Below are 27004 nucleotides of genomic sequence, written 5' to 3'. Positions count from 1 at the left end.
ACATAACTATGTTGTTTATGTACAAAATGATACTCCATTATGTCAGCCACTCTCTGTCCACATCAGTGATCTATGGACTCTGTGACAATCTCATTGTTCTAGGGTGAAATACAAAGTCAGATGTACTCCACCAACACTGTAATGGACTTTACCCACTTACTCTGCTTGAAGTTATCCTCTACTCTATTAAATGGGTCTGTGACCAGCTGTCCTGTACAATTTAGGAGTTATGGAACTGGATTGCTTAGTTGTATTAATTTCTCCATCTATATCTAATATAAATGTTTGCATTAGTGATGTTTTGATTACATAGTCATATATATCTTTCCTCATGTAATACATATATTTATTTTATGTATTTACATAAAACCAGAAAGAATGGAAGGTAACATATTTTTAAATATGCATTGCTATGCCTGACTCATAGCAAGGGCCCCAAAATCATAGTTTTATTTTTTTATTGGGGGAGCAGGCTGTCTTAGTCTATTCAGGCTGCTAAAACAAAATACTATAAAATGGGTAGCTTACAAACAACAGAAATTTATTTCATACAGTTCTGGAGGCTGAGAAGTCCAAAATCAAGGCAGCACAGATTCAAATGGTTCATAAACAGCAGTTCTAGCTGTGTCCTCACGTGGTGGGAGGTGGAAGGGAGAGGCCTTTCATAATGGCACTAATTTTATAATGACTATTAATCATCACCTAATGACCTCCCAAAGACCCACCTCCTAAAGCTATCACATTGGTGAGTAGGTTTCAACATATGCACTTTGGGGGAACACGACCATTAGACCATAGTGGGGTGTATATGGTTATGACCAAAACAGTGCAACTATAAGTGGTCTGTGTTTGGAAACTACTGAGGCATCTCCCTCTTAATAAATTGCAGAGCTCTCTCATCGGATTCTTGTTATGTGTGCTTACCCTGTGGTTAAGAATCTACTTTGTAGATATAGAGATAGTCTCTGCTCAGATGTGGTCTCATTGATTTAATTTCTCTTGGGGGAAAAATGCTTTGCTAATGATCACCTTGTCTCAAATTGCAGATTACGGTATTTCGGATGGGATCAGAAGGACACCAGGACATTGATTTGGCTATCCTGACAGCTTTACTCAAAGGTAAAAGAGTCTGTGTCCAGAGAGTGTGAAAATAATTTAAACGAATTAATACAGTGACCTTATGTCTCCTAATAATAGATATAATCCCAAATGATACTATGACACAATAAATTATTGATAACATAGGGGTCTCTCCTGTAAGACAGTTACTGCTATTAAATTCTCCTAGAATAGATATTATAGTGTGACTCAATTTTATAAGATTTAAATATACTACAGTTTAGTTATGTCCATGAATTATAAACGTATATAAAGAAAAAGGCTGACATAATATGTAAGATGCAGTGTTATCTGAGGTTATTTAATAGTAATTTTTACCCTATCTACTTTCAAAAACCATTTGATATGGCATATGTGTGAGTATATGTGTGTGTGATATATATACACACAATAATAAATACCTTAACACACACAATAGTATATTAAAATGGAAAATCAAAAACCATTGAGAAGAAGGAGAAGGAAAAAAATTATGGTACTGTACTTGTTATAATATAGCATTAAATTTAAGCTTCCTGGAAGTCAAGGCAAAAATGGTAATACTCTGCGTTGTAACTTGTTTTGAAAGTGGGTATTTGTCCTATTCTCTAGTCCCAATACTACAAAGTCCTCATCTATCTGTCCTCATCCTTGGAGCCATATGAAGAGCAGTTTCCTTTAGGTTCTGTGGATTAAATCCAATCCTTCCTGTGCTTTACTAAGTACATTACACTTCACTACTAATTTGCAGTGTTAAACAGAAGGAAGTTTCTCCTGTTCAGTGCTGAAATTCAAACTAGAACTATAAGACAAAACAAAACCACAGACTTGTTGAATGTGGTTCTGAGTTAGAAATGTCTCCTACATTCTCTCTTAGCCCCATAGTTTGTTTGCCTGCTGTAGAGTCATGGTTGGTCACTACCTGTTTGTCATCTCCCTAGATAGGGCAGAGAATGTGTCTGGTTCATTACTACCTTCTTAACACCTCACACAATCCTTAACACATGGCAACATTCAATCAAGTTTTGTTTAATAAATGAAGGGACAAGTGGGCTACTCAATGATTCAGTGATAGATTCAGCATTCCAAAATGAAAACTCAGAATACCAACTATTTCATTCATTTTCCAGTGTATCTACTCTTCTTCTACTATTAATATTCTCTTGAGGACCCATCATGTGCTACCATGCTCAACTCTTTACAAATACTGTAAACGTTATTTATTTCAACAACCAAATGATATAGGAGCTATTTTTAATTCCCATTTTACAGATGGAGTAAGTTGAGCTACAGGAAGTTAAGTAATTCGCTAAAGGTTAAAATGCTAATTAGCAAGCTTGGCCTTAGGTCCAAGTATGTCTAACTCTTCACTATACCATGTGACCCCTCTGACAATACTAATTTGTCAGTTCTCTTCACCCACTCTCCAAGTGTATATATGCACATTCATTCAAAATCCTGATTGCGACTTAGAAGTTTTGCAATCCCATGAATCATATCATGTGTCCAGCTTGAGAACCGCTGCTCTAAAGCATTTTATCCCAATGAACTAAGAAATACAAAGGCTTTGCAGAAGAATCACGGGACCAGGGACCAGGCATGAACTGAACCACAAAGCATACTGCAGGCCCCACTCTCCCCTTATCAGAGACAAAAATAAAAATTTGAGGCAAGTTACCCTATATTTGCCATTCTCAAATAAAGATATTTTAAAGTAATAATGTCAGTAACTGACATTTATTGAGAACTTACTATGTGCCAAACACTGTGTTGGATGCATTCCATGTATACATTTGTTTATTCTTTACAATAGTTCAATTACCAGATTTTACAGGCTCTATTTTATAAATAAGGAAATTGGGGCATAGAGCAATTCAGTAACATGCTCAAGATAAGTTGACCATTAAATGGTAGAGACAGTCTGACCCCATAGCCCTCACTTATGTATGGAGATAAAAAACGCATCCCTTTCCCACTGATAAGAAATGAAGCACCACATTTACAACCCTGAACAAAACTCACAGCAAATGGGGAAGTGATCCAATTATTGATAAAAACATATTGGCCATTATAATATCTTCTACTGAAAATACTTTCTTCCTCTCTCATGAATTTGTGAGAATTTAAGTTGTGATTCACTTTCAGCTCAGTCTTAGAATTTATTCATTGCATTATAGAATAGTTGTTTTCCAACATTTTTGAGTATGACATACCATATGAAATACATTTTATATTATAACCAAATAGTTACACATATGTATTTGGAAAATTGAAATTAATGTAGATGAAATAATATTTACATTGACAATATGCAATTGCAATATGCAATGAAATTGGGTATTTTCTATTCAATCTATTCTTTTCTTTTAAATGCTGATTATATCCCACTAAATTGATTTCACAACCTACTAATGAGTCATAACCTGCAGTTTAAAAAAACACTGCCACAGAAGATTAAAGAAAATTATGATTGCTCTAAGAAATTAACATTTCTAATCACCATCATGAACATTATCTATGCAGCAGTTGATGCTAATGGGAATTTATGCCATTAAAAGATTATGATGTGTCAACTCTATTTTGCGAAGGCTTTGAAATGCTCTCAGTTGCTGACCCATTTGATTTGTAAAGGCTATCAAGCACAGTACTTTTGCTGGCTTCTTCGGAGGCCAAGAGCCTACTTATATTGGTTTCAAACTCTTAAGTTTATTAAATTATTCTTCCTACTTTTTTTGAATTATGCGTGGGCATGTAACATGGTTTAACACCAAATTGTTACATTTAGTTTGCAATTATCTAATGCATGTAGAAACTTTGTGCAATCCAGTTTTTATTCTGCGGAATCTGAGAAATTTCTGAGAGAACCAGAAGTTAGGAAGAGGAGAAAGCCAGGAAATGACCCATTGGTCCCTAGATCCAGAGGCCACAAGAAAGGACAGGAAATCAGGTGACCATGGGGAAAAGATTTCTTTGCTGCTCCTTGTTTCTGATCCTGTTGGGTTTGATTTTTCCTTGGGATCTGCATATTCTGTATTAGAGGATACTATTTATATTATACAGACTTATCCAGTGTCTGTCCAAAAATGAAGAAAGAGAGAGACAAAAAGAGCTCATGCCTGTAACAGCAACACTTTGGGAGGTTGAGGCGGGAGTAGCACTTGAGCCCAGGAGGTTATGGCTGCAGTGAGTCACGATTGCACCACTGCACCCCAGCCTAGGCAACAGCGCAAGACTGTCTCCAAAAAAAAGAAAAGAAAGAAAAAGAAGAAGAAAGAATGTTGTTTCAGTCAGAGATGTAAGGGGCTCACAGTTTCTTCAGCTGATGACCTCGAGTAGCTTTTAAGAATGGGCAATGTCACATTTGTCTTTCACATGATGGGACCACTCCACAAGGTCGGTGGTCTCAGGCCAGAGACTGGGCACTCTCCTCCTGCATTAGCCTTCCACTGCCCCTGCCACACACACCAGGATATTCAGTTAACTTTGAATTTTCAGATAAACAACAAATAATTTTTGAACATAAGTATGTCCCCAAGTGGGGACTTATCATACTTATAAGTGTGTCTTACTTGAGACACACTTATACTAAAAAAAAAAAAAAAAAATTGTTTATTATTTGCCTGAAATTCAAACTTCACTAGGAGTGCTGTATCTTTATTTGCTAAAACAAGCTACCTTATTTTAGGGGTGGAAAGGGGGCGATCCCTTTTCCATCTTAAGGGTCATAGCTGACACTTCTGTAACAAAGGCATATTAACAAGAGAAAAGCATAACAAATATGTTTGATCTTATTTTTATGTGACATTCCAGCCTTCAGAATGAAGATCTGAAGATACACAGAAAACTTTTCATTTTTATGCTTAGGCTCAGTGAAGTATGAACAGCTCTGTAGAAATATGATTACACAGAAAGAGTCTGATGGAATGCTAACACACTGAGAGGGGAAACCCAGCAAGGCCTGTCTTATCAGATGCTTCTTGGCCTCTCTGTGTAGCATTCCTGCTGATGCAGGACAAGCAAGCCCCAAGGTGGGACTTAGGCCATGAGGGTTCTTGGCTTTGCCCAGGAAAGAATTCAAGGATGAGCCAGCTTTACTGAAGGAGTGTTATAGCTCTGGCACCGTTACAGCTCTGTTACTGCTCCTGCAGAGTGGGGCTACCCAATAGGCAGTGTGCTTAGATTAGCAGCTCAGGACAGTTTTGCAGTCATATTTATACCAACTCTTAATTATATGTAGATTAAGGGGTGGTTTATGCAGAAGTTGCTAGGAAAAGAGTGGTAACTTTTGCATCATTGGGTCATTGCCTTGGAAAGGGGTGGTAACTCCTGGGTGTTGCCATGGCAATGGTAAGCCGACATGGCACACTGGAGGGCGTGTCTTATGGAAAGCTGCTTCCACCCTGGCCCTGTTTTAGCTAGTTCTCACTTTGGTCCAGTGTCCGAGCCCTGCCTCTGGAGTCAAGTCCCGCCTCCTACCTTACTTGCTTCCAGGTGTGAGATAGATCTCTTCTGGAATAAGGGTATTAATTTCGTTATGGCCAGCTGTGACACAGAAGGACAGGAGAAGTGGGTGGGGGGTGGGATTAGTGTAATAGCTTTAGGCTTTATGACTGGCTTTGGGAAAATGGGGTTCTGGTCTCTATGACCTGCCTTGGGGAAGACGGTTTCCAGTTTCCATGGCTTGCCTTGGGGGAGAATGAAAGGTGAGAGACAGGAGGGCAGGTGAAGATCAAAGAGAAACTTCGCTTCTGAGTCTGCTTCTGGGACCTTCAGTTTAGCCTTAAGGCAAGTTTGGCCTATCAATCATTTTTCTGAGCCCCAACATCATTTCTATTTCTGGACCTCAGATACCTCAAGAGTGAGATTCTTTGAGAAGAATAACTCAAGAATTTAGGGAGGTCCGCTAACCCCTCTGTCCACCTGCTCCTCTCAGCTGGCCCTGCCTTAATCACAGCAACCAGAGAAAACTTCCAAGAGAGGAGCCCAAAGTTAACTTAATAAACTCTTTGGTGTTTATCAGTCTGCTCTCTCAGCAGCCCCATGTTGTCAGCATCCCTCATACATCAGCATAAACCTCTTGCTCCAGGCTCCAAAACCGCAGAAAATATCTATTCACAGCAAATGAAGTTATTGTAAGTGGTCTCTGGACCCTTTCTGTGAATAAAATTACCCCCACCATTCATCTATTCTCATAGGCCTTGGATTCAATATAAAGTCAGACCACATGACTGTATAGTTTCATTCGTACATGTGCACTGAAGAGTAATATGTGATGATCACTGTCCTCCATAAATGAGAAATTTGTGTTCTTTGGGTTTAATCTTCACTGGTAAATAAGTCCATCTGAGGCACAGGGACAAAGTAACCTTTATTGCTTGCTTTCTTTTCTGGAAAGCATTTCAAAAGAGCTAAAAGAGAGTGCCAAAACAATATGTTTCTCCTCATAAATGTCAAGGTCATCAAAAACAAGGGAAGCCTGAGAAATTGTCACAGCAGGAACAATGTGGTTTCTTGAATGGGTTCCTGGAGCAGAAAATAAAGGGTATTAAGTTAAAAACTAAGAAAATGTGAATAAAGTATGGGCTTTAGGCTTTTTTAAAAATGTTAAGAGATAAATAAGAATGATATCACATATTGTTAATCTGAGCAGGAGACATATTGTAATCAAAAACCTCCACAATTCTTTCATGTCAAAAAGACAAAAAAGGAGATAGCGATCTTTGGAATTAACCTTAAAGGTCAAACACATATATATATTCAAAGGACTATGACAGGCAAAGGTAATATCTATACAAAGTATCTATAGAAATCACATAGCTATGAATAATAGCTGATCACTGTTGATCTTAGAAATGACCAGAAATATCACTGGGGTATTTAAGCAAGAGATATATGAATGTGGAACTAAAAAAACTGTATGAAATCAAATTTTCATATGAACTCATACAATTATTTCAGAGATAATTATATAGTTCCTATCATTTTATTTTATGTGTTTCTGATCTTCAGACAAAATTAATGCTATCAATAATTAATCAACTACTTAATTACTTATAGATACATGGAGAATAACTTCTAATATATCCATTTGTAAATTTGTTCAAATTATAAAATAATTTAAAAATAACATGGGCCTGGCACAGTGTCTCACACCTGTAATCCCAGCACTTTGGGAGGCCGAGTGGATCACCTGAGGTCAGGAGTTCAAGACCAGCCTGGCCAACATGGCCAAACCTCACCTCTACTAAAAATACAAAAATAAGTGGAGCATGGCAGTGCGTGACTGTAGTCCCAGCTACTTGGGAGGCTGAGGCAGGAGAATCACTTGAACCTGGGAGGTGGAGGTTGCAGTGAGCCGAGATCATGCCATTGCACTCCAGATCGGGTGACAAGAGCTAAACTCTGTCTCAAAAAATAATAATAATAAAAATAAAAATGAAATGAAATTGAAATTGAAATGCAAAAAGAATAGCCAGTATGTTTTATATGACTTTAGAAAAGTTTTAGGAAAGCATACTGTTGATTAGATTACATAACACAAAATAATGAGAATCTCTATGTTCTGACCCATCTTCCATTACAATTGTACAATTGTATCTTTAGGGGAAAAAAGAAAACCTAAACTTAAAGGTAGATAAATTTTTTAAAAATTTCATATATATGCTGGGTGCAATGGCTCATGCATGTAATCCCAGCACTTTGAGAGGCCAAGACAGGAGGACTGCTTGAGCCTGGGAGTTCAAGATCAGCCTGGGCAACATTGTGAGACCTTGTCTCTAAAAAAAAAAAAAAAAAAAAAAAATAGCCTGAATAGTGGCATATGCATGTAGTCCCAGCTACTTGGGAGTTTGAGGTGAGAGGATTGCTTGAGCCCAGGAGGTCAAGGCTGCAGTAAGCCATGATTGCACCATTGCACTCCAGGCTGGGCAACAGAGCAAGACCCTATCTCTCTCAAAAAAAAAATTATATATATAATGTTTTGAAATGACTTCTGAATGCATGTCTCCCAACTCTATTAACTAGAAAATGCAGAGTTACTATCACCAACCTTCACTAACATCAATAAGCAATTGGCCTTGCTGCCTAACTCATCTCATTTTAAAAAATAACTTAAATCCTAGTTAACTTGGTAAATCCTAGTTAACTAGTAACTTAGTAAAACCTAGTTAAATCCTAGTTAACTTAGTAAAACTTTGGCATATGTTTTGAAGTAGTTTATGTCCAATAATTCCATGCATCAGGTAGCTCTCATAAACAACTAACTTATCCCAGAGTGTTTACTGAGAAGTTACCTTGCTTAACCCCTCATGATTCATGAATGTATTTTATTGAATGTATTATGGCCTAACTTTGATAATAAAAAATATTTCTAATTATGTGTACAAGACTTGCTGCCCCTCTTTCCTGTGGGCAGACAGTTTAATATACCACATGGATGATTGCTTTCTTTTTAATGTTATTATTTTCTTAACCTTATACTGTTTATATATCCCTCATAAGGCCAATAAAAGAGACATACTTGTTGACATTTTTATGAGATACAAAGTTACTATAACTCTTTTTTTTTTTTTTTTTTTGAGATGGAGTTTTACTCTGGTCTCCCAGATTGGAGTGCAATGGCACGATCTTGGCTCACTGCAACCTCCATCTCCCAGGTTCAAGTGATTCTCTTGCCTCAGCCTCCCGAGTAGCTGGAATTACAGGTGCCCACCACCATGCCCAGCTAATTTTTTTATTTATTTTTTATTTTTTTTGTATTTTCAGTAGAGATGGGGTTTCACTATGTTGGCCACGCTGGTCTTGAACTCCTGACATTGTGATCTATGTGCCTCGGCCTCCCAAAGTGCTGGGATTACAGGCGTGAGCCACTGTGCCCATCCTATGGCTCTTAAATAGTGAACAAATGAAGGTAGATGAAATTTTGTGCAAAAGCAATCTACAAAGTCAAAATGTGAGACATTTTCCATCTATTTTAGACATAAAAGTGCCTAGGACATTACTGTGTGGGTTGGTAAACTGTAGGTGGATAGCAAAGTGTTTTAGTTAGGGACTAAACACACCAGGTAAGGTTTATAGTGTTGAGTCTTTCCAAAAGTATTTATTAAGCCATTCTCTGCTTTAGGCCACTTTTAGCTTCCTTGTGTCTTCTGACTTGCAGATCAAGCTTCCTCAAATGCACTTGTTTCTTGGTGGTCCATTTTACCCCTTTATTCAAATCATTAACTTTGATGTTATGAAGCAAATTGGTCATCAGAAGTTGGAGTCCAGGATGGAACCCCCAAAGCCAGTGTCTTCCATGTGCCTCTTATTACTACCTCATCCCAAAACCACCTGGAAGCCAAATATCCACTTTCCCCCTTGCTACTCCATGCATTTTACAGACTAGGAAATTGAAACCAAAGAGTGTGAAAGATACTCAAGATAGTTTGTCAAGTTAGTGGCAGAGCCAAAGCTTAAACCCATGTCTCTTCACTTCTACCCACTTTTCTTTACATTGCATACATTAGGCTTTGGAAGATACAAGATTCCCTGGCTTTACAAAGCCACAGGTGCACAGGTGTTTGCACCTGTGCTTCTGGGGGATCTCGACTAATTAACAGATCTGGATGTCTACTTCCTAAAATTCTCGGCACACTTACCAGCTGCCCAGATGACCCTAGTTGCACACACAATGTTTTAGTGAGGGAGAGTAACATCAGCAAGATGGTGGAACAGAAGTCCTCCTGGCATCACTCCCCCTACAAAAGTACAACTAGTAATTATTCAGACACGAGTACCACCCTGAATGCACCAGAACTTAAGGAAGAAATGGAAAAAAAAAGAAAACCAATATTTTAGTGAAGAAACTAGGATGCCCACAGTTTTATCTAATATAATGGCAAGAATAAGGGTGATCTCATACTTGTTTTATTTTTAAATTGTTAGAGCATCAGTGGAATATTGCTGAAACTGGGAATTGTTTTAGTTACAAGTAACAGAAACACAATTTGAAGAAGCTCCAGCAAAAACAAATAAAACAGATTTGTAAGTTCACATGACCAAAGTTTAAAGATAAACTGAATTCAGGCAAAGTGGCATCCAGGGCTCAAATGATGTCATCAGAGTCTGTCCTGTATCTCTTGGACACTAATCTGTACATAGGTTAGACAGAGTGATCATGAGCAGTACCAGACTCATGCCCAGCTAACTGAGAAAACCCCAATCAGAAGGAAACATCTTTCCTGATAACTGCAACAGAAAGGTCCCGGGAGTACTTGAATTTGCTCATCTTGGATCCATGCCCATCCCTGAATTCATCACTGTGGCAGGGGAATTGAGAGAATCCCTATGACTGTGGAATGAGAGATGGGGTTAGCTGTATTCATGTCAGGGTTTTTGGTTCCCAAAGAAAACAGAGGTTCTAAAACCAGGAGAGGGGGAAAGAAAGGATGCTGGTAAGACTAAAAGCAACTAAAAGAAATACACATCTCTACAATTATATTAAAAGGAGTACTTTTGGGAGGCCGAGGCAGGCAGATCATTTGAGGTCAGGAGTTCAAGACCAGCCTGGCCAACATGGTGAAACCCTGTCTCTACTTAAAAAAAAAAAAAAAAAATTAGCTGGACATGGTGGCACATGCCTGTAATCCCAGCTACTGGGGAGGCTGAGGCAGGAGAAACGCTTGAAGTGGGTAACGGAGGATGCAATGAGCTGAGATCATGCCACTGCACTCCAGCCTGGGCAACAGAGTGAGACTCTGTCTCAAAAATGAATAAATAAATAAAACTACTGAGGGGCAAAGTATGTCAAATTTGCCTCAAATGCAAGCACCTATAAATCTATGTTCCAGGGATACATTCTTCATTCAGCAGATAAAAACTGGAACTAGGTCAAGTGAATACTAATCAGGGTTCAGACATTCTCTCAAGTCATACTCATAAAGTTTACTTCAAGTAAACCTAAATATATCACTTATTACCTACCATTACTTACCATATAATGTTTATTATAATAATCACTGTTACCTTTTTTAATTTTAATGGTTTTGTACTTCATTATTTTTGACAAGAATTTGTGAAGAGATTACATTTTTAACACTTTTTTTCCAAGACCAAAGCCTATTCCTTATTTTAAAAATGATTCCATAAGGGTCAGGTTGCTCCAGGCTTTCCCCACTAGGCTCCTCTCAGCCCAGCTCCCACTCCTACCCACAGTCCCTGCATGTGGTACTTACCACAGTGAGCCAGTGAGATGATGGCCATATTCAAAGCATCCCTACTCCCTGACTGCAAATTGTTTGACCTCATTGAGCCACAGTCTCCCCATCTATAAGATAGAAATAATAATAATAATACACAGTTGTAACAATTTTAATTGATAATGCAAGCAAAGCACTTAACAAAACATCTGGGATATCTATTTAATAGATGATGGCCTGATTGATAATGATGACACCAAACTAGAAATAAGGACCACACCTGTTTTACTTACCACAGTGTACTCATATACACAGTGCCTGGCATAGAGTCGGAATTCAATATATATTTGTAACTTCTGAATGGATGATCAACAGGTTTTGGCTCAGATTAGATGTCCTTAAATCCTAATTCTTTACTGGCTGTAGCCAGTAAACAAAGTTATCTAACCTCTGTGTGCCTCAATTCCCTTCCATGTGAAAAGGGAAATCAATTAAACCTCTCCCATATGGTTTGATATAAGGGACACATGACATGGTTATTGCTAGCTCTTTAAGGGCGGACACTCTACTCTGCCTTCTTTATGGTAAATACTTAACACATAATCGTTTTATACTCTTTCCCTTCTGAAACGGGTTTTAAAAATTCCTAGGGCATTAGGATATCCCCCATATTCAAAATCCATCAAAACTGTAAAATGCCAGATTTGAAAGGACTCATAAATTTGAAAAAAACAAAAACAGCAGAAAACCTCTAGCATACATGTGAGAATCCAGAACAGACCACTGAAAGGAATTGAATCTAGAAAGTGGTTAAGCACATGCTAAGCTACCTTAAAATAAAATTAATTTTCTTGCAGGTTTATTTTCATGGAAATCCAAACAGATCTCAGTCCAATAACAGACCAAAGTAGATAACAATTTTAGACATATTTGTTTGTCTCTAACAGGAGAATTCAATAAAAGAACTTAAGTCCCTTAATTCCTTTTATTTGTACAGTGCTTTATAATTCACAGAGCATGTTTATACAAGTTTTATCATTAATTTTCACAACCCTGCGGAATGGTTACCAGATAATTTACCTCCAAACTGGCACTTTCTTCGGCATGAAAGTTGGCAGTATTAATAATTATGCCAGAACACCTGGAATGAATCAGAATGTCCAGGCAAACTGGTAGGTATGATCAAACCCCATCTTCCAACAGAAATTTCCAGAGAAATTTCACCTGTGACTTTCGCAGTATCATACTATCTCACACCCCACCACCACCACCACTCCTTCTCCCATTAGTCACCTCCCCTTAAGAGTTAAACAGGCTGGCACAGTGGCTCACACCTGTAATCTTAGCACTTTGGGAGGCCAAAGCAGGAAGATAGCTTGAGCCAAGCATTTTGAGACCAGCCTGGGAAACATGGTGATATGCCATGTCTACAAAAATTTTTTTAAATATCCAGGCATAGTGGTGCATACCTGTAGTCCCAGCTACTCAGGAGGCTGACATGAAAGGATCGCTTGAGCCCAAGAGGTTGAGCCCACAGTGATCACACCACTGCATTCCAGCTTGGGCAACAAAGGGAGATGCTGTCTCAAAAAAAAAAAAAAGAAAAGAAAGAAAGAAAGAAAGAAAAGAAAAGAAAAAGAAAAATGAAACCACCTCTTCTCTTTTCAGACAGAGTAGTTCTAGTTCATCCCTGTCCTCTGATATTTTGACCCCTGCCCTCAAGGTTCATCTATTATAAGCAGGTTTGCAGGATATTTTTGCAAAGTTAGTCCTCTTCCTAAGCAGAGTTCCAATGGCATTTCACAGGAGAGAGTGGTTTCTTCAGCTTTCTTCAGCTTCTTTAATATAGGTAGTAAGTGAGAGAATGGGGCCTGGACTCCCATCTCTCCTCAGAAGATGACAGCATGGTGTTCTTTGTTTCAGGGTCATAACCAGGAGAAAAGCTGTAACATGTAGACTTAAGTCCTTGCAAAGACCAAGAACACCAGGGTTCACCAGTCTCAAGTCTTAGGACATTCCTAGAAGATTTTTCGGGATTATGACCATATCCATAATATTGTCTCACTGTGAAATCTGAAAGCTGAATAGAGTTATACGCATTTAGGGAACTGAGAGGTGTCTGCTGATGTTTGAAGGAAGAACTGGAATCCAGGTCTTCAGACACCCAGGTCAATTATTTTTTCCCCTGCGCCATGCAGCCAGTTCTGATGGCAGCTGTGGTCACCCCCAGCCCCTAGTTACACAGAAGCTGGGCATCCTTGTGCTCTGTGACTTTCTCGTGCCTCAGAACTGGCACAGAATCAGAGCTCATTGTGTTTAGTGATCTGCACAGTAAGCTAATTGCCATCCCAACGCTTCTGAGCTCCTCTTGGCTTGTGAGGAACTCATCACTGCCGACTTCCCAGCAGGGCTATGGAATCATACTTTTCTTTCTTGGCTTGCTTCAGGGCAATGAATCAGCTTCATTCATTAAATCAGTTGCTGCCTAGTCTGCATTACATAATCACAGAAATTGATAGCAGCACAATTCTGAAATAAGTAGCTTACATTAATAATAAAAGTATGTTCCTCCTGGCTAAGCATGAAAAAATAGATATAACAGTAAATCTAACATACAACAATAACAACTAATATAGAAGTTACTATGTTTCTTTTTTTTTTTTTTTTTTTTTTTTTCTTTTTTTGAGACGGAGTCTCGCTCTGTCGCCCAGGCTGGAGTGCAGTGGCGCGATCTCGGCTCACTGGAAGCTCCGCCTCCCGGGTTCACACCATTCTCCTGCCTCAGCCTCCCGCGTAGCTGGGACTACGGGCGCCCGCCACCACGCCCAGCTAATTTTTTGTATTTTTTAGTAGAGACGGGGTTTCACTGTGTTAGCCAGGATGGTCTCGATCTCCTGACCTCGTGATCCGCCCGCCTCGGCCTCCCAAAGTGCTGGGATTACAGGCGTGAGCCACCGCGCCCGGCCCAGAAGTTACTATGTTTCTAAATATTAACTACTTTAATCCTCACAAGTACCACAATGGGGCAGGTACTAGCAGTATCATCCATCTTACAATTGAGGAAACTGAGGTATGGAGAGGCTAAGTATCTTGGCCAAGGTCACATGCTAGAAGTTCATGGAATCTATACGTGAACCCAGTTTGTCTGAGTCCAGGACACTTGCTCTGCATTCTGAGCATCGATGGCCATGATCGACTGTTAAGGACCACCCCCATGTTTGACATGTTTGGGACAGTCAATGATGACTAAACTTTTCTTGATGCATGAAATAATACAGACAAAGTACCAGATAAATATAGTCCACTAAACACAAGAATCTACTATCATTCTCTTCTGGACCCCTCCAAACAAGCATGACCAGTTTTATATTAAAAGGATTAGGGCAGAAACCATATTTCATGCTCACCACACTGGTTTCTCTTATTATACACTGGAAGACTAACTATCCTAGCCTCCTTTGCAGAGAAGTTGGGGCCATGTGAGTGTGCTTCAACCAATGGGATGTGATCAGAAGTGATGTGTGGCATTTCTAACATGGAAGATGAGAAGCAGATAAGAATGGAGAACAGCAGACCAGAAAACAAACCTGAATATTAAGCTGATATCAAACTGACTTACATTTTAAAATGCTCAAAAGGCCCAGGAATTGGGGCATCCAGAAACAAAAAGGGAGAGTGAAGAGAGAGAAAATATAAAAGATTTATTGTATTTTTTAAGAAGCAGACAGAATGCCATATCCTCTCCTCTACTCTGCAAAGCACACTCCAATCAAAAGGTAAATATTTATTCTCTAGTGAGAGTAAAACAGATTTTCTGGTCTAGGGGAACCAGGTACAAAGTGAGACCTGGGCCACAACACTGAAAGAGGGCCATGCAAGGGGAAGGAGATGAAATCAATTAATGCATATTAGATGCTGAGACCTCAGCCCTCTTCCCCAACTTGGTTCCCAGTGTGCTGGCAGCTTGGTCTTTATCCTCCAGGCAAAAGACTGGAAGGAGCCTTTTCTGTAAATTTTGATCTTCCCAAGAAATAAGACCTAAAGACACTCACACAAAAGATTTCCCAGATAAGAAGCCCAACCAGTTTATCTAACCATTAAGTTCACAGTTGATCATTTCCACTTATGTTCTCGGGGGCTTCCAGTCAGCACTCTTATGCCCACTCTTAAATATGAACAGTTAACCAAGGATTGCCAAACACATAGGAAAGACCTCTAACACAGAAGAGAGAGAGAGAGATAAACAGCGAGATGCAGTGTGGAGCAAACAGAGCTATGTAGGGAGAAGGAAATTCACCAATACTGTCTTTAATAGCCTCAGAGAAATCAAAGAAAATGTTTTAACCATTAAAAAAAGAACAACATCCTATAAAACACTCAATTGTTTTAAGAACTAGAAAGAGTTTTGGGGGATTAAAAATAGGATAGCATTAATACAAAATTAAGGGAATAATTAAAACATAAAATTGAAATACTCTTCCAGAAAGTAGAGACAGGAAGAATAAAAGAGAGAATGGTGGATAAAAAAACAATGCAATAATTCCAGAAAATGTCCCAGAACTCCAGAACATACATTTTCAGGTTGTAAGAAACTACTGAGTGAAAATAATCCTATACCAAGTCATACTATCATAATATAGAGGAACACAGGAGCAAGAGAACAGGGGAAAAGAGAGAAAGTGAGAGCTTCTAAAGAGAAAAAGTGGGCCACATGCAAAGAACTAGGAGCTAGAATGCTTTGGACTTCCAAACAACAATGCAGAAAGCTATTATACAACTTTGCAATGCCTTAAAAATTCTGAAGACATGTATTTTCAATCTAGGCCTATATCTAATCTACTGATCACTTGTGATGGTAAAATAAAGATATTGGCAGGCATTAGGTGCCTGGAAAAACCACTTTCTGCAGATGTTTTTCTTCAGAAACTACTGGAGGATGTGCTCTACCAAAATGAAAGAGGAAACCAAAAAATAATAAACAAATACAGAACACAAAACACAAGAAATAGGAGCTTCCACACAAAACAGAGGAGTTGGAAATTCCCTGGATCGTGAAGAAGGGAGACCCAAGGTGATAGTTCTGCCCCCAGGAGCTTAGGAGGCAAAAGCAAGAGCTGGCAGACCTTGCTAAGGCTTCTGCCTGGAACTGCCGTCATGTCACCCTGCTGCATTCTATTGGCTACAGCCAGCCACCAGGCCAGCCCAGATTCTGCATGAGAGGAGATGTCACAAGAGTATGAACACTGGGAGCTACGGTTCCTTGGAAGCCATCTTCAAAGACCAACTAGCAGAAAGAACCAGTCTAATCCTCTGGTTGCCTCTGTGGAAAGAGGAATGGGGCATTGAGGCTTGTAATTTTTACACCAAATCTTGCGGGAATAGATGACTCTCAACTCTGTGCATGTATAACTTTAGTAAAAATGAAGCATATATGGTTCCTGAATTTCCCAGAACTCAAAGAGACAGAATGAGTAAAAGAAAAAGGGAACAGAAGGTTGAAAATCATTAATTGCAATAATTCCAGAAAATACACCAGAACTTCAGGACATAGGTTTCCATAGACTCCTGCTCAAAAATAAAAATATGGGGAATGCAGGTATTTTTATATATCCAGCTGTGTAAATGAATTCCTTTTTGTCATAAGTAAGCAGAATAGCCCAATTGAATGGTTTTTCTTTTACTCCCTCAGTTTTATATTAGTAACATGTTTCTCAGCTTTGCATATTGTGTATAAAACAGACACACTCATGAAGTTCTCTGTTAACACGTTCATGGGACACCTGCGAAGTACTGACTGACTTTATGGCAGAGGGCACAATAAAGAGAACGTGTCTATTTGGATAGGTTGACAAAATGAAGCAAATACCCTGGTGCTTTCCAATGTTATTCATCGTAAGGCCATATAGTTTCAGTGGTCCTTTCTGCTTGCACATGAGAATATAGTGGCAATATTTACTGCAGAAAATCCTGGCCAAGATCACCAAGGAGACAGACATATTTAATTATCTGACTTTGTGAGGTTTCTATATAGCTTCGATTCTTCAAAGTCTAATACCCTAGCTCTGAAAATGAAACTAAGAACAGTTCTTCAGAGTGAGTGAGATCTTACACAGGAAATGCACACTCAATAGGTAAGAGGAAAAAAACAAACAATGCTGAATTACCACCTCCTGCCATCCCTAGACCCGGGAAGAGGAAGAGTTCAGCTCCCACTCCAGGCAGGGTGCAATCCTCAGAAGAGAAGTGGCCTTTAGTTTCTGAGGCGCTGTCAGCCAGCCCTGACCTGTCAGGACAGGTGCTACAATTCTATCAGCAGCCTGTGTCAGGTGCCACTGGAGAATCCAGAGTGATGTCCTGTTAGACCAGGCAGCCCTGGGAGGGCGTGAGAGGTACGTTCCTAGGCCGGTGTGGTGGCTCACGCCTGTAATCCCAGCACTTTGGGAGGCTGAGGGGGGTGGATCACTTGAGGTCAGGAGTTGTAGACCAGCCTGGCCAACATGGTGAAACCCATGTCTACTAAAAATGCAAAGATTAGCCGGGGGTGGTGGTGTGCTCCTGTAATCCCAGCTACTTGGGAGACTGAGGCATGAGAATCACTTAAACCTGGGAGGCAAAGGCTGCAGTGAGCCAAGATCATGCCACTGCACTCCAGCCTAGGCAACAGAGTGAGACTCAGTCTCAAAAAAAAAAAAAAAAAAAAAAAAAAACTACTCTCCTAATCGGGTGTGGTTGTGGCTCTCATGGAGAATCCCCCATGTCCATGGCCCAGGCTACCTGGGGATAAACACACAACAAATTCTCTCAAGTTAAGTTCCATCAAAGCAATCACATTCTTAAAATCTAAATAGAGCACCTGTATCTAGATTAAGACTCTTGCACTGCAATAAATTTACATCCTCTTGTTTATATCTTAGCCTTTACAAGCTTAAACTCACTTAGGGAAGTGTCTGAAAAGAAAGCCTCAATAGAAGGTAGCATTTGGATGACTCCCTGATTTCTGCCAGAGAACAATTTCTAATACTGATCAGCAATTCTATGTGTACAAGCCCTGGGTAATTTAGGGCTATCTGTACTTAATTCTGAAAAATTAGGGATTTAGTAGAGAGCATCTTTTTATGAAAATTCAATGATACCTAAATATTCTCATTAACTATAGCAGAAATCAAACTAATAACCTGGCTGGTAACTCTTCTCCATCCAGGAGTGTCTGCATGGCAGTGGCATTATTTACCTGCTAAGTCTATTAACTTATTAATTTGGTAAATTTATTGTTGGAAATATGTAAAACACTAAAAATATTTGTACAGTGCCTTAATAACATAATATTATCTATTTAATCTTCAAAGTGATCCTTTGAAGAAGATATTATTGACATCATTTTATTCATGAAGAAACTAAGTCTTGGAGAGGTTAAGTAATTTTCTCCAGCTCCTACAAATAATAAATAAAATCAGTGCTCTTTCTCTTTCACCCAAAGAAGGTGTCATGGCCCACATTTTTACTTGCCACTCAACTGCTATCCAGTAAAGGGTAACCAGACACAGATCAGAATTGCGTCAGATAGCTGCCATTTGGCTTAGATCTTATTCAGTTCTCCAAGAAGCCAGGGTGTATCCATCCTAATACCAGAGATAAATTACCTAATCCCTGGCACACCTACTGTGTACAAATCATTAACTTAAGTGCTACAAAGTCTTAAAGATGTGTAAAACAATCTTAAAATATGGTAGAAGTAGAGACCATAATATAAATTACAAATAAAATATGAAAAAGGCTCAAATGAAAGAGACTCCTGGATTCAGGGGAAATAGTGGCAATGAAAAGGAAAATAATAACAATATAATGTCAAAGATCTGATAAATTATTATAACCACTATAGTGAGGGTATGGTGAGACATTCATTCACTTGCTCATTCATAATTTTTGAACACTCAGTAGTTATTTTTTAATTAATTTTATTTCAATAGTTTTTGGAGTATGGGTGGTTTGGGTTGAACATGGATAAGTTCTTTAGTGTTGATTTCTGAGATTTTAATGCACCCGTCACCTGAGCAGTATACACTGTATCCAATATGTAGTCTTTTATCCCTCACCCCACTCCCAACCTTCCTCTCTGAATCCCCAACATACATTATATCATTCGTATGCCTTCACATCCTCATAGTTTAGTTCCCCTTATGAGTGAGAACATACAATATTCGGTTTTCCATTCCTGAGTTACTTCACTTAGAATAATAGCCTCCAGCTCCACCCAAGCTGCTGCAAAAGACAATATTTCATTCCTTTTTATGGCTGAGTAATATTCCGTGGTGTGTATATACTGCATTTTCTTTACTCACTGATTAATTGATGGGCGCTTATGTTGCTTCCATATCTTTGCCATTGCGAATTGTGCTGTAATAAATATATGCATGTAGCTGTCTTTTTTATGTAATGACTTATTTTCCTTTCCTAGATACCCAGTAGCAGGATTGCTGGACTAAATGGTAGATCTACTTTTAGTTCTTTAAGGAATCCACATACTGTTTTCTGTAGTGGTTGTACTAATTTATATTCCCATCAGCAGTGTAAAAGTGTTTCCTTTCACCACATCCACACCAACATCTATTGTTCTTTGACATTTTAATTATGGCCATTCTTGCAGGAGTAAGCTGGTGTCTCACTGTGGTTTTGATTTGCATTTCCATGAGAATTAGTGATGTTGAACAGTTTTTCATGTGTTTGTTGGCCATTTGTATATCTTCTTTTGAGAAGTGTCTGTTCATGACCTTTGCCCACTTTTTCATGGGATTATTTGTTTTTTTCTTGCTGATTTGAGTTCCTTGTAGGTTCTGGATTCTAGACCTTTGTTGGATGCATAGTTTGTGAATATTTTCTCCCGCTCTGTGGGTTGTCTGTTTACTCTGTAATTTCTTTTGCTATGAAGAAGCAATTTATTTTTGTTTTGTTGCATTTGCTTTTGGGTACTTAATTATGAATTCTTTGCCTAAGCCAATGTCCAGAAGAGTATTTTTGATGTTATCTTCTAGAATTTTTATGATTTCAGATCTTAGATTTAACTCTTTGATTCATCTTGAGTTGATTTTTGTATAAGGTGACAGATGGAGATCCAGTTTTATTCCTCTACATGTGGCTTGCCAGTTTTCCCAGCACCATTTATTGAATAGGGTGTCCTTTTCCCAATGTATGTTTTTGTATGCCTTGTCAAAGATCAGTTGGCTCCAAGTATTTGGCTTTATTTCTAGGTTCTCTATTTCTGTTCCATTGGTCTATGTGCCTATTTTTATACCAGTACCCCGCGGTTTTGATAACTGTAACCTTGTAGTATAACTTGAAGTTGGGTAATGTGAAGCCTTTATATTTGTACTTTCAGCTTAGTATTTCTTTGGCTATGTGGGATCTTTTTTGCTTCCATATGAATTTAGGATTGTTTTTTCTAGTTCTGTGAAGAATTATGGTATTTTGATGGGAATTGCATTGAATCTGTAGATTGCTTTGAGCAGTACAGTCATTTTCACAATGTTGATTCTTCCCATCTATGGCCATGGAACTTATTTCCATTTGTTTATTTCACTTATCTTTCTTTCAGCAGTGTTTTGTAGGGTTTTTTTGGTAGAGATCTTTCACCTCCTTAGTTAAGTGTATTCCTAAGGTTTTCTTTTTATTGCAGCTGTTGTTCTTGATTTGATTCTCAGCTTGGTCATTTTTGGTGTATTCCAGTGTTACTGATTTTTGTACATTGATTTTGTATCCTGAGACTTTACTGAATTTGTTTATTGGATCTAGGAGCTTTTTGGATGAGTCTTTAGGGTTTTCTAGCTATACAATCATATAATCTGTGAACAGCGATGGTTTGACATCCTTTTTTCTGATTTGGATTCCTTTCATTTCTTTCTCTTGTCTGATTGCTCTGGTTAGGACTTCCAGTACTAAGTTGAATAGAAGTGGTGAAAGTCAGCATCCTTGTCTTGTTCCTGTTCTCAGGGAGAATGCTTTCAACTTTTCCCAGTTTAGTGTGACATTGGCTGTGGGTTTGTCAGATATGGCTTTTATTACTTTAAAGTAAGTCCCTTCTATGCCTGTTTTGTTGAGGGTTTTTTTCAAAAAGTCATGCTAGATTTTATCAAATTATTTTTCTGCATCTATTGAGATGATCATATGGTTTTTGTTTTTAATTCTGTTTATGTAATATATCACACTTATTGACTTGACTTGCATATGTTAAACCATTCCTGCATTCCTGGTATGAAACCACTTGATCATGATGCATTATCTTTGTGATATGCTGTTGGATTTAGTTCACTAGTATTTTGTTGAGGATTTTTGCATCTGTGTTCATCAGGAATATCGGTCTGTAGTTTTCTTTTTTTGACATGTCCTTTGCTGGTCTTGGTATTAGGGTGATGCTGGCCTCATCGAATGATGTAGGGAAGATTCCCTCTTTCTCTATCATTTGGAATAGTTTCAGTAGGATTGGTACCAATTCTTCTTTGAATGTCTGGTGGAATTCAGCTGTAAATCCATCTAGTCCTGGACATTTTTGTTGGCATTTTTTAATACTTATTCAATCTTGCTGCTTGTTATTTGTCTTTTCAGGGTTTCTATTTCTTCCTGAATTAATCTAGGAGGGTTGTATATTTTCAGGAATGTATTCACTTCTTATAGATTTTCTAGTTTGTGTGTGTAAAGATGTTCATAGTAGCCTTCATGAACCCCAAATATCTGAGACAGGTCTCAGCTAATTTAGAAAGTTTATCTTGCCAAAGTTGAGGTTGTGTGCCCATGACACAGTCTTAGCAAGTTCTGAGGAGTTATGGTCAGAGCACAGTTTGGTTTTATACATTTTAGGGAGACATGAAACATCAGTCAACATATGTAGGATGAAAATTGGTTTGGTCCAGGAAGTCAGGACAACTTGAAGCAGAGGCAGGACAACTCGAAGCAGAGAGGGGGCTTCTAGGTCATAGGTAGATAAGAGACAAACGGTTGCATTCTTTTGAGTTTCTGATTAGCCTCTCCAAAGGAGGTAATCAGATATGCATTTATCTCAGTAAGCAGAGGGGTGTCTTTGAATAGAATGGGAGGCAAGTTGGTCCTAAACAGTTCCCAGTTTGACTTTTCCCTTTAGCTCAGTGATTTGGAGGCCCCAAGACTGATTTTCCTTTGACATACTCCCCCTTTTCTTTTTTAAAATCTTTTGGAGAAAGCATTTTAGAAGAAAATGAGTCTCTGATCTCAGGTTTCATCTGATCTGTCATGGCTATAATGGTTTATTCCTAGACAGGTAGGTCCCAAGTTGTTAGGAAAGCTCATTTTTAGCAGGTTGTTAAGTCTCATGTCCTATGAAGAGAAAATAGGGGGAGAAGGGAGAAAAACAACAACAGACAAAAGAACAATCTTGGAAAATCAATATAGGCCACATTACTGTGAAGTCGATCCATCAGTAGGCAGGTATGAAAGTGGCTTATGTATGTAAATAGGTTACCATTATTTTCTTCTGAAGTTTAAGTTGTCTAGCTTCAGTTCACAGGGCTTTATGAAAGCACAGCTTAGTTTTTGTGACTCCAAATTAAGAAAAGTGAGGAAAAAAAGGAAAAAATATTAACATTATTTTGAAGACTTGTAGCCAAGAAAAATTAGAATTCAGTCCAAATTGTAGAAAATAATAAAAATTGAAAAACATTAGACAAGACTAGAATCTAACAACAGGTATACTATAGTTTTTGAAACATAATTTTTCTCCAGTTTCCTATTTTTACTAAAGACACATCATGGTAGGACAGATTTGCTTTATTATACTTGGCCCAGTTATTTGTATACAGTGCTGCAAGAATAATTATTTTTTACATAGGCTTTTATATTGGCTTTAATGGAACTTTGTTCCATAGAAGGAATCTCAGATAAGACTTTGTAAAAACCCAACCCAGCCATGGATTTGTACCATCAAATACCTATGAGTTGGGTCAATTCCTCTCCTCTTGAGGTCCCAACATAAAACTTGGGGCTCCTGGGCCTGTCAGAAAGTGAGATTCTTTACTTACCACCGGTCAGGAACCCTGTACAAGGACTGTGTAAACAAGGTATGAGGCCAGTTTTCCCAAGGGGCTTTTATTGGCTCCATAAGTCAAGTTCAGTTCCTTAAAGGAAAGCACACCATTCCAGTCAAAGTCTTGGTAAAATAACCAGGTTCTCCAGTTGTGTCCTATTACAAAGGAAAACAGCTTCTTATTAGACTTATTCAAATACCTGTATTGCCATAAGTTAAGACTACTCACAAATAGTTTCCAAATTCTGGAGAAATCAGGTAGAGAGAAAAAAATATGCTCCAAATTTTGTTCATAGGAGTATACTAACTTCTTAAAAGCTGTCAATAACTCAAAAGAAAAGTTTTCTTGACTCTGACAAAAAAACAAATGATCAGCAACATTTTAAACCAAAAGTCAAAAAGATTACTTCAATCTTCTGTTAGTTCAGTCCATGCTGTTAATTCCTGTTCTGCTTGATATTCATGAACATTTCAGCTCTCCATGAGTCCTGAAAGTTTTTTCCCTATTCTGATGTCACAATCTCCAAAGTTATCAGAAACCTGTGTTCAGAAGCACCTGTTAGAGTTTTATAGCTGATTATAAAACCACTTTCTAAAGAGGACAAAAACAAGACAACAATTGTCCATGGATGACAAAAAGTTTTAGGGCAGCCATAGTCAAAGACACAATTGACAAGGAAATTTGTTACCTCTGTAGTATACAAAAATTTAACATAACGATTATAATTATTACTAATAACATACACTAAGTCATATCATAATTATAGAAGTTTCTCATAATTTTGAAACACATACCAATAACATATTTATACAATCACAGCCCAAAGAAAACCAAACACCATTTCATATTTGACAATGCTTCCTGTATAATTTTTATACCAAATAAGCCAAATTATGTCATTTTTGGACTTTAGGGAACCTAATATCTTAGAGGATTAATTAGGTCAGAAAAATACATAATTTGTAATTTGATTTTGGAAAGTTTGTCAAATATCAAAGGTTTAAAACACTTGATATCACAGGTCATTGTAAAATAAGTCACTCATTTGACCAAAGTGATAACTCAAGGATTTCAAAAAAGAACAGGTTATAACCTTCATTCTTTGGGACAGGAGACTTAATTTTCCAAACAATAAGCCCTAATAAAACAGCATGAAGCTAATTAAATTTGTTTTTCAAAATTTTATAAACAATCTATAAAATTGCAATCTTAACCATAAGATATAACTTCCATAAGCCTTTTATAACCTTTATTAGGGAGTCAGTTAATGCTTCAAGAAAACCTTGTTAATCTGATATAGGGGCCCATAGGCTGGTCTTGCATCAGTGTGCCTTTGACATTGATGATTAATTTATAGAAACTGAATTTATTTTCTCTCTCAAAATTGGCCCTTACAATCACACACTCACCTCTTCTGCAATAGTCCCTGGGCCTTGAGGATTGAATAGCTTTAATTTCTGGCCCTGTGTCTCCAGAATGCAGTTTACTTTGATCGGCGTCTTCTACCAGACCCGAAGATGTGAGATTAATTGCTGTCAGTGTTTAAGATTTAGCAGGAATTGCTGTCCTTTTTAGACTCAGGAGTAAAAGCCCTGTAACTCAATGTCAAAGCACTTTAAAAGCACATACAGAAAGATACACAGGTGTAATAATCTTAATTTAAAAAAAATTTTTTAATCTCAGATTTTTTCCTGTGCAAACTAAACTTAATAATAATGGCATAGGAATTGTTTCAATAAACCATAAAATCTGTTAGGCCAGTTAGGCCAGTTACCAAAAGGCAAAAGAAAAGACCTTCTACAGTGTACCAAATATTATATTGGAAGAAAACATTTCCTTTAGACCTTTAAGAAAACATTGTTAGCATCAGGCCACAACAAACAGAACCCAAGGAAAAACAACTTATATGAGCTGAAAATGAGTTGTTAGTATTTCGTGGCCTTTAAAAGGGGAGAAAAAAGCAAAAATAGTGAGATGCAATAAAAGTTGAACTTTGGTTAAAAAAAAAACTTACAATTTAAGAGTAAATACATTCCTTAAGAAAATTTCATTGTTCTAACCAATTATTTAGTGGTGTACAAGCTTTTTTTTTTTTTTTTTTTTACCTCAAGCCCAATGTGTAGAAAGACCATTATAATTTCCCTTTAATTACAAACTACTTAATCATATAAAAGTTTTTTGGGTTTTTTATGTATATAAATCCTCTTATTGTGACTTATACAGATTGTTCATGATATTCTTGGACTTCCTGGTTTGTCCTGAACGTCCCTCTTTCTTAAACAACCAGTCATTTTATTCTAGGACTACATTTACCATGTAAGATTCTTTCTTACATAAAATATTTCTTTTTAAGATTTCTTACCAAAAAAAAAACACTTTTTTTTATAACTTTCTTTACATCTCTCTTATTTCCTGGTTCATTTTACCTTGTTTTATACATAACCTTTAAATAAGCTTTGAATGATACAAAAATTGTTCACCTTTTTAGAAAGGACACACATTTTTTTAGAAAGAATGTTTTCCTACAATTTATTTTCATTGGAAAATACCCAAATAATGAAATATCTATTATTTAATTTAATACAACTTTAGATTCTAAATTACAATGAGTTTGTCTACAAGTGCTTATCCCATTACATTTGCCTAATTATTTTATTTTGTTTACCTAGATTATTTATGAAAATTTCAATAGTCATCATTTACAGTTATGGACTGCCACTGCAAAATTATAACTGAGACAGTGAAAAAGATCTGATTAACTGACTCCATCTGGCTTCTAACCTCCAAGCTGTTCTCATTCATTCCTGGGCATAGGCCAAACTATTAACAACTTTGGAAGGAAGTTATAGTTTAGCTTTGAAACAAAGATGGTAACAGTCTTTTCCCAAAACAAATCTTACTGCCTGTGGACTAGACCGCCTAAAGCCACAAGATTAGAAGTTATGGTAATCTTACTAAATTCAAGATGTAGTTGTTTCCATTAAACCAATATGAGTATCTTATTTATTAAACATTACATAAACAAAGATCATTCTGTCTTGGGCTGGGTTTATAGTTTTTTAACCCCTATGCCAAATGTTGACACTTTATAGTACTTGGCAGGAATTAGTATAAAATTGCTTGATTAATAAATGCAAACAAAAATGTATGCTGTCAATTCTTAAGACATTTCTAATATTACCTTACCAATAATTTTAAAGCTAGGTTATTTATTAAACAGTTTGCTTAAGTTACGTAAACTTGACAAAGCATTTAACTAGACTTTACTTTTTCTGATAAGGTATTTGATTCAAGCACTTTTATTTTCTTAAGCCAATTAATTAGAGCTCTTTTATATGTTTTCAGTAGTGAAACGTTGTGTACGCAACATATAAATACATAGAGGTATTAGGCATGCCAATAGAAATATATCTTATAGATTCAAAAAGAGCTTTTTTTCCTACCTTAGACTTTCAAATTCTTGATAACCTTTTAAATTATTATAACTCTTTCAGTAACCTAAGCAGTTATCAGCTACATAGCTTTAAATTTGCATACTGAAGGAAACAACTCAGGTGAAAATCAAATAGCAAAATTTACGTCATAAGGTACAAAGAGAAAAAGTCTGGTGTGCTAGAAGGAAATTAAAACAGATTTAATTGCCAATTAAACATAAAATTGTAGAAACCATAAAGGCCTTTT

General features: G+C 37.5%; 1 protein-coding gene and 1 long non-coding RNA gene across 20 annotated transcripts in view; one reads left to right on the top strand and one right to left on the bottom strand.

The window, feature by feature from the left end:
* Positions 1-13939, bottom strand: part of LOC105376078 (uncharacterized) — a 49773-nt gene extending 35834 nt beyond the window's left edge. The window contains exon 1 of the long non-coding RNA XR_007061573.1: positions 9738-13939. This is a non-coding gene — a long non-coding RNA (uncharacterized LOC105376078). The remainder of the gene's footprint in view (positions 1-9737) is intronic.
* The window catches only part of TRPM3 (transient receptor potential cation channel subfamily M member 3), a 917912-nt gene that overhangs the window by 764347 nt on the left and 126561 nt on the right, over positions 1-27004 (top strand). For all 19 annotated transcript variants that reach the window (NM_001366143.2, NM_001366141.2, NM_001366142.2 and 16 more), the window contains one exon: positions 1047-1119. In NM_001366143.2, coding sequence (NP_001353072.1) covers positions 1047-1119 — 73 coding nt within the window. The remainder of the gene's footprint in view (positions 1-1046; positions 1120-27004) is intronic.

This window comes from Homo sapiens, chromosome 9, assembly GCF_000001405.40.
Source record: "Homo sapiens chromosome 9, GRCh38.p14 Primary Assembly".
NCBI classification, from domain to species: Eukaryota; Metazoa; Chordata; class Mammalia; order Primates; family Hominidae; genus Homo; species Homo sapiens.
Note: the sequence above shows the minus strand (reverse complement) of the source record. Positions and strands in the feature narration are given on the sequence as shown.